The sequence below is a fragment of the Homo sapiens genome, chromosome 1 (genome assembly GCF_000001405.40).
Source record: "Homo sapiens chromosome 1, GRCh38.p14 Primary Assembly".
Lineage (NCBI taxonomy): Eukaryota > Metazoa > Chordata > Mammalia > Primates > Hominidae > Homo > Homo sapiens.
Window position 1 is genome coordinate 182,882,124 of NC_000001.11, and position 9,015 is coordinate 182,891,138.

Below are 9,015 nucleotides of genomic sequence, written 5' to 3' on the forward strand. Positions count from 1 at the left end.
CTGTAATTGGAATAACTAAACAAAGTAGTGAGTGGTTCTCTTCTGTCATAAGCCAGCCGAAATTTTAGTTTTTCCTCAAAATTATAAGAAAGGGAAAACTTCATGTGCTAGAATCTTGAGATGAATTTTACAGGTAATGAAACAGGCACCAAGGTATAAATTGTCTTTAATTCATCCAATTAGGAGGCTATAAGACTAGAACTCGTTTGTCTAGAACAAAATATGTCTGTGCTTTCAGCGGTTGACTGTCATGCTTTCCAGTCAGTAGCTAAGTACTCAAAGTGTAGACTGGGTAAAAACGTCAGCCTTCATTCCAGTAGGTGTCCTCTTAGATTATCTCCATCTTCTCTACAACTAACAGCTATTTAAGAGTAGCAGATAAATACTTTGTGGTCCTATCAGTCAAGCTCTTATTCTCAGAGTAGATGGTTGATTGGGGGACTTTAAAAAGTAATCACCCCGGCCGGGCGCAGTGGCTCACACCTGTAATCCCAGCGCTTTGGGAGGCCGAGTCAGGTGGATCACGAGGTCAGGAGATCGAGACCATCCTGGCTAACACGGTGAAACCCGTCTCTACTAAAACTACAAAAAATTAGCCGGGCGTGGTGGCGGGTGCCTGTAGTCCCAGCTACTTGGGAGGCTGAGGCAGGAGAATGGCATGAACCCGGGAGGCAGAGCTTGCAGTGAGCAGAGATGGCGCCACTGCACTCCAGCCTGGGCGACAGAGCGAGACTCGTCTCAAAAAAAAAAAAAAAAAGTAATCACCCCAAGCTTATTTATGGTTGAGTCTATAAGAGAATAGAGACGTTTTCGTTTTCTTATTGTGGAAACTCAGTAACATTACTCCTTGAACTTAATCTGGGTGTAAGGATTCTGAGAAGAGAAAGTTTTACAGACAGGTTATGTGAAAAGAGTGAGGAAGAGTCAGTTCTCTGAATTATCTTAAATAGTTTGCATGTAATGTGAAGATCAGCCAGTTATCTGATTTTTGTTTTCACTGTGCTCCTCTTAACAGATTGTTTGTTGACACAAGTGTTTACTAACACTGGACCAGATAATAATTTGGATGTTGTTATCTCCCTCCTGGCCTTTGGTGTGTACCCCAATGTATGCTATCATAAGGAAAAGAGGAAGATTCTCACCACTGAAGGGCGTAATGCACTTATCCACAAATCATCTGTTAATTGTCCTTTTAGTAGCCAAGACATGAAGTACCCATCTCCCTTCTTTGTATTTGGTGAAAAGGTAAGAAAAGACTAGAAAAGTTTACATTGAAAGTTGAAATTGTCTTTACAATCATTAGGAACATGAATTTTGATTTTCAAAGCACAGTATATAGCGGTATTTGGAAGTTGGAATGTCAACCATTTTGTATTGTCTCTTTCTCCATTTGCAGATTCGAACTCGAGCCATCTCTGCTAAAGGCATGACTTTAGTCACCCCCCTGCAGTTGCTTCTCTTTGCCTCCAAGAAAGTCCAATCTGATGGGCAGATTGTGCTTGTAGATGACTGGTATGGATTTTCAGATGTGAACTCCAAACTGAATTCTTAGAATTACAATATGATGGAATTCAGCTGCTAATCTAACTTAATTATATACTAATTATATCTAACTTAATTATATACTATATACTTAATCTTAAATTGATACCAGTAGAAGCAAATGCATTAGGAATTTGAGCCATGTCTACCACTAGGCACACCACCACTATGGAATCAGAATCTAAGTGAAGCTTGAGTACCCTTTCACATACTCTGTATATTGATTCAAAACTAGTGGTAAGCACTGGGCAAAAATGGAATAGAGCTTAATGGACAGCCAGTAGGCTCAGCCATCATATTCTTGAAAACCTAGAAAATGCCAGTATTCTGGGTCTCTTAAATTCATTATTTTAAAGTCTGGATGATCTGGCTGGGTGCGGCACATCACTTGGGCTCAGGAAGTTCAAGATCAGCCTGGACAACATGGTGAAACCTGTCTCTACGAAAAATCCAAAAAAATTAGCCCCGTGTGGTAGCGCACACCTGTAGTCCCAGCTATTCTGGAGGCTGAGGCAGGAGAATCACTTGAACCTGGGAGTTGGAGGTTGCAATGAGCTATCACGCCACTGCACTCCAGCGAGGGCAACAGAGCAAGACTCTGTCTCAAAAAAAAAGAAAGTCTGAATGATCCATATTGCTGGACTTTGTTTTTTGTTTATTATATATTGCATATATTTTTATTATATTTTATTTGGCTTGATAGACTTTTTGGCTTAAGACTCCTGCTCATAGCTAGCAGTGAATTTTAAGAAGCTAGTGCTGATTATAACTACTCTTCATATCTGTGTTTGCCTAAGTTTGGGGCCATTATAAGTAGTTTTTTTTTTTAATATTAATGCTTAAGAAGTTAAATTTATTCTATAATGTGCCATGTGTGAAGTTGAGAGATAATGGTCTTTTTCTACATATACTCCCTCTCTTATTTTTAATGTATTTCGCCACTTTAGGATTAAACTGCAAATATCTCATGAAGCTGCTGCCTGTATCACTGGTCTCCGGGCAGCCATGGAGGCTTTGGTTGTTGAAGTAACCAAACAACCTGCTATCATCAGCCAGTTGGACCCCGTAAATGAACGTATGCTGAACATGATCCGTCAGATCTCTAGACCCTCAGCTGCTGGTATCAACCTTATGATTGGCAGTACACGGTGAGTACCAATATACTTCTTACTGAACCAAGTAGAGGGGAGAGATCTTATGTAGGCCTAGAATTCCTGAAGTTAGTGATAGAAGCCCTATTACTTAAGTAAAATTCTAGATATAGATAGAGCTATATAGATAGAGAGTTTGATGTTCTGAGTTCTAACATACTCAGAACAAAGAATGTCATTTACTTTTTTGTTAGTAGTTGGTCTGCTGCATCAGTGCATGTTGGTAGTGTTAGAAGGAACTTACAAATGCACATACATAGTTCAGAGTGGGTCACATGACAGGGAAGTGACACAGCCCAGATAGCCCTTTTTCCATGGTACTGTTTTGGCATCTCTAAAGAAAAATATTGATGAGATGTTAAATTGTTTCTGTATCAAATGTATATGTGTTTTTGTTTATCTTAAACAACTAGAGCATGGATATCTTAAAGAAATGAGAAATTTATCTTAATTCTTAAAATTTTTATTTGCTTCAGGTTTTAAAATTTTTTCTTTGCCCACTAATTTTTATTTACATATACTTGATACTTACCAAAAAGGCAAGAAGAGTGATACAATGTATAGCCATATAGTCTTTATTTAGGTTCACTAATTTTCAGCATTTTGTATTTGCTTAATATTTGTGATGAAGTAGCAGGCATTACCACATTTTACATCAATACACTTCATGTCTTTTAAGAACATGGCCACAATACCACAATCACACCCCAAAACCTTAAGTGTTTTAGTAATACTATAATATACTAAGGTACTAAAATTCTTCCAGTTATCCAAAAATGACCTCTAATTCCTCATCAAAAATGATGTATTGGCATTTGATCTATCTGTAAGATGGGTAGATTGTTATCCTCATCCTCTTTAATATAAACAAGGAAACCAGGCACAGATAAGACCCAAGGTCATACAGCTAATAACTGATAGAACCAGGTTCAAACCCAGGCAACATGGCTCCTGAAACAGTGCTCTTACTATGCTATTCTGTGGCCCTCCTAGGTGGTTAAATGCATAGAATAATTCAATAACCGTCATAGGCAGATAACAAATGAAGTATTCATGGGTGTTTAGGAGAAGAGAGATTATTTTTGGTAGGAGGGCTGGTAAGCAAGGAGCCGCTGTGTATATAATCTGTTTCTATGAAGGATAACAGTCCGGAAACTAGAAAGAAAGGGATATATGCAAGAGAGTTTAGGATGTATGAATATGTGGTGGCTTAAATTACAGTAGTAGAATTGCAATGGGGAGATGTGACTGGATTAGACAGATTTGTGGTAGAATCAATAGGAATTGGTGATGGACTAAAATGGAATAGTGCAATGAAAGAAGGAAGACAGATTACAGTCATTTATTTTTATTTTTATTTTTTTTTAAATTTATTTATTTATTTATTTATTTATTTTGAGAGTCAGTTTTGCCCTGTTGTCCAGGCTGGAGTGCAGTGGTGCCATCTTGGCTCACTGCAACCTCTGCCTTCTGGGTTCAAGTGATCCTCCTGCCTCAACCCCCCGAGCAGCTGGGATTACAGGCACACACTGCCACGCCCAGCTAATTTTTGTATTTTTAGTAGAAACAGGGTTTTGCCATGTTGCCCAGGCTAGTCTCTAACTCCTGACGTCAGGTGATCCACCCACCTCAGCCTCCCAAAGTGCTGGGATTACAAACCTGAACCACTGCACCCAGCCACACAGCCATATTTCTGACTTAGCTGCTGAATTGGTGGTGTTATTCTCGAAGAAAAGCTGCACAGGAATAATAAGCAGATTGGGGATATGTTTAATTGAAGTTGTTGACAGTCCATCTTGATTTCTGCAATTTTTTATTCGCTTTATTTTCCTTATTTGCCACATGAAACAGATTTAGGCATTATTACCAAGGACATTTTTCAAAATCATATTTCAGAATTATTGCAGGAAAACATCTGGTGATAAAGACCAAATAGTTTATTGGCAGCTCCAGGAACCCTCTCCTAATGCTTGCCTTCTTGGAACACTTATGTTATTGAACTGAGTAAGAGGACTGTCTTAAAGTTCTAATGACATACTGCCAAAATTCAAAACCTTTGAGATTGAACCAGAACTTCAGAAAAACAGATGGATACAATTGATGACTGTTTTAGAATAGCAGATCAATTTTATTTCAATTTCTATTTGTGCATTTGGCTTCATTCCCTTTATTAAATTTTCAAATATAACTAAATGTGTACATTTGGTAAGTCGTTGGGAAATAATAAGAATGCTTTGCTAAAGTGATGGTTTTGTGCTTTTCCTAGGTATGGAGATGGTCCACGTCCTCCCAAGATGGCCCGATACGACAATGGAAGCGGATATAGAAGGGGAGGTTCTAGTTACAGTGGTGGAGGCTATGGCGGTGGCTATAGCAGTGGAGGCTATGGTAGCGGAGGCTATGGTGGCAGCGCCAACTCCTTTCGGGCAGGATATGGTGCAGGTGTTGGTGGAGGCTATAGAGGAGTTTCCCGAGGTGGCTTTAGAGGCAACTCTGGAGGAGACTACAGAGGGCCTAGTGGAGGCTACAGAGGATCTGGGGGATTCCAGCGAGGAGGTGGTAGGGGGGCCTATGGAACTGGCTACTTTGGACAGGGAAGAGGAGGTGGCGGCTATTAAAACTTGGTTATGTCAGTTCCTGTGTGTAGACAGTAAGGAAAAAAAGGCATGCTATGTGTTACGTGTTTTTTCCAGTATGTTTATTTGCCACCAAAAAGTAAATGCATTTTCACCCATTCTGTGGTTCATTGTAGTTTAAGGAAACCAAGCATATAGATGCATTAGTGATTTTGTTTATATTATGTAAAATATAACGATCTCTTAAAAATACCACAGTTTGTATTTTTTCTTTAAGGAGTAAAGATTTGCCTTTAAATAACTTGGTATTTTCCTGGCTTTCGTTTAATACAATAGAAAATAAAGTATTACACCGAATACTTGCCGTGTAGTTTGTTTGTTGACCTCGTATGTTAGAAAATTTTACAATGCCAGCTACATCTGTTGATTTTAAATGTCAGAGAAGTTGTACCCTGTTTCAAAAGTATACTAAGTGATACTACTTGTAATAGAATAAATCATCTTGGAATTGAATTGTTACCTTTTGAAGTAAATACTGGCAAGTGCACAAGCCACATAAACCTGAATAAAACTTTTGACCTAGGGTTGAACATTTGGCTTCCTCCCATATTCTGTCTTTGAATAAGACCAAGGCCAGCATTTTCTTTTCTAAGTTAGTTTCCACGATGACAATTAAAAGCAATAAAATCAATCCATAGAACTCTTGAATAAAAGGTAAATGAAGCTTCACTGATGTGACACATTTACCTACCTTACTGTGTTGCAAAAGGTTTTTGTTAAGCTACTTTGTTTTAATAGAGATATTCATACATTTATAGCACATTACAGTTTCCAGTGAATTTTTTCACATTTCTCATTTGAGCAAGATACAGTGGAGAGGGCAAAGGTACTGGATTACACAGAACTGGGTTTGTCTTAATTCTGTTCTCAACCATGTGGATGATCTTGGGCATATTTTTGTTTTGGTTTCCTTTTCAAAGTCCTTTATCCTGCATACATGTTTTAGATCACCTTCAGCAATTATTGTTAAGCTGATGGCACCTATCTGCAGACTCACAAGTCTGTCTCCAACCGAAATTTCCTTTCTGAGCCATGTAAACAACTGCACACTGAACATGCGTCTCTGCTTAAATATCCCACAGAAAAAAATCTCAGTGCCTTCCAAACTGACCTTCCCCTCCCCACCTACCCTGTGTCCTGACAGTACTATGTTCTCTGCTCTGCTCTTTGGAGTTTCAGCTGCTTAATTGCTTAAGCCACCATCTCTAGTCAGCTCAAAATATCTTTCAATATACTTTTATAGTTGAGTTGCCTCTGTTCTATTCAGTCTTAGTTTGGACATACAGTGCCACAGCAACTTAACTGATCCTGCCTACAGGCCTGCCTCAAGATGATCTCCACTACAGCTACAGTAAACATTCCCAAACAAATCCAGTTTCATACCCCCTCTCCTGACTTAAACTAATGGTTCTTAACTGCCGTCAGGGTAGAGGCTAAACTCCCTTCTTAGCCACTCACTCCGGCTCTACCTTCATTTCTGCTGTACAGCTGTAGCTAGCCAAACTGAACTAGCACCATCGATTGATCATGAGCTTTCTCTCCCTTTGCAAGTTGTGAAAACTCCCATAAAAGGTATAAAATCAGTAATGGTTCATTTGAATGGTACTCATCCCTCCAACAAATTCAATTAGAAATGTAAATTGATAAATGGCCAAAAGTTGTCAAAGTGCATTCTCTGAAGGTTGAAAGAAGCACTAAGGCACAGTTCTAACGTTACCATGTTCAGCTAAAGACCTGAGGAGCTCCATGTGTAGCTTCCCCCGGTCTTGTGCCCCACATATTCCAGCTGTCCTCCCTAAACTCGTTTGTCTCTTAACCGCAGTGCTCTGCTTGGTACTTTCTCCCTCTGCCATGACCCAGAAAGTGCTTCCACATAGCCATGGACTTGTCTCATTTGTTTTCCTTATTGGGGATCACAGTTCTGCATTGCCTGTTACCTAATGTCTGAAAGCAGCTGTTTCACTAGTTGCTTACATGGGAGGAAAAGTTCAGTGCCATTTGTATTTGTCATAGCTGTAAGTGGGAATCCAGTTACCAAAGAATCCATCATAAGGTCCAGAAATCATTCCTTTTCTTAGATGAGACTTAAAAGAGCAGAAGGCTACGTAGAGTATTTTGTGACATTAATACCTTGAGACATCAACCACTGTTTAATTTCTTTTTTGAGGCAGGGTCACCCAGGCTGGAGTGTAGTGGCACAATCTCAGCTCACTTGCAACCTCTACCTCCCAGGCTCAAACAATCTTCCCACCTCAGTCTCCTAAGCAGTGGATAGCTGGGACCACAGGCCCCTGCCACCACCACACCCAGCTAATTTTTGTATTTTTTGTAGAAATGGGTTTTCACCTGCCCAGGCTGATCTTGAACTCTTGACCTCAGGCAATTCACCTGCCTCGGCCTCCCAAAGTGCTGGGATTACAGGCATGAGCCACCACAGCCCGCCTTCATTTCCTTTCTTAGCCATCTCTACATTTTGCTTAGAACAAAGACAATAGTTAAAGAATGTCACAGCAAGTGTGCAATGACTGAAAGTTCTTCCAAAATGAGAGCTTGAATACACACCGTTCCCATTCAGGAAATGGGAGAGAATTCGAGGAAAAAATAATGTAGAAAGTTTTCTGCTTACCACCCCTTCTCTCACAGCACATATCTGCCGGGGTTTGGGGGTAATAAGAGTTGGCAGTGACAATTGAGTCAGCCCTTCTAGAAGTTCAGACAGGAAAGAGTGGCCTGATGTGCACGTGTTTGGTCTGTGGTTGACAGTTTGAAAGTTAACTGGAAGAAAAAGCTGATGTGCCAATTGCAGGAAGCCATGCTGCAGACCTCCCTGCGTTAACAGAATGTGTAGGTACAGTGTCCTCAAGTAAGCAGCTACAATTTGGTGGGATCTTTTGTGCTGTGAAGCTACACTCCAGACCCTCTGAATGTCACCGATGCCATAGGAACAGATCAGAATATGAATAGTTGTGCCAACTTAGGGGTCAGCCCAGACAACAAGAAAGAAGACATTAACTTTAGCCAAGCATGTATTTGAATACCAATTTCCCTCTTTCTGAATCTGGAAACAGAATTGGGACAGGAGGATAGTAAAGAAAACCAAAAATGGAATTTCTAATTTGGAACTGATGTGAATTTTGGTTTTGACTGGGAAAACGGCTCCTGAATTCTACTGTATTTACCAGAAAGACTTAGACTTGAATTACTGTCCAGAAGACAAAAAGGGAAGTTTTTTAAAGTTGTATTTGTGTAACTTTCATATTTGCAGACTGTTCTATTACATGTAGTATAAAATATTTCTGGACCATGTGGGGAAAATTTAATATTGAATCTCAAAGTTAACTGAGGTTACCTGAATTTCTGAGACTATTTTAGTGATAATTTAGCTTCTAAGAAAAGATGTTGAGGAGAGGTGGAGCAAGATGGCTGAATAAAAGCCTCCAGTGATCATCTCCCTGCAAGAACACCAAACTGAAAACTATCCACACAAAAACCTTTGTAAGAACTAAAAATCAGGTGAGCGATCACAGTACCTGGAAAGAGGTATATTGAGGAAAGAGGCACGGAAGAAGGTAGGAAAGACAGTCTTGACTGGCCTACATCACCACTTCTCTATGCCCTGGCAGCGGCCACATGGCGCAGATAGAATCTGTGTGCCTGGCAGTGGGGGAACAGATTGTGAGACTGCG

The 9,015-nt window shown here is 39.9% G+C and overlaps 1 protein-coding gene across 2 annotated transcripts in view, besides 1 other annotated feature; it reads left to right on the forward strand.

Annotated features, from left to right (window-relative positions):
- The window catches only part of DHX9 (DExH-box helicase 9), a 48,636-nt gene extending 42,777 nt beyond the window's left edge, over positions 1–5,859 (forward strand). For both annotated transcript variants that reach the window (NR_033302.2, NM_001357.5), the window contains 4 exons: positions 1,016–1,245; positions 1,397–1,512; positions 2,490–2,690; positions 4,960–5,859. Coding sequence is in view for 1 of the 2 variants with exons in the window: in NM_001357.5 (NP_001348.2) it covers positions 1,016–1,245; positions 1,397–1,512; positions 2,490–2,690; positions 4,960–5,311 (899 nt within the window). In the remaining variant the exon portion in view is untranslated. The remainder of the gene's footprint in view (positions 1–1,015; positions 1,246–1,396; positions 1,513–2,489; positions 2,691–4,959) is intronic.
- Positions 8,070–8,119: a silencer, noted in NCBI's record as "silent region_1622". NCBI's record gives its function as "represses an Ori minimal core promoter by ATAC-STARR-seq in GM12878 lymphoblastoid cells {active_cell/tissue: GM12878}" and the evidence as "EXISTENCE:reporter gene assay evidence [ECO:0000049][PMID:35858748]".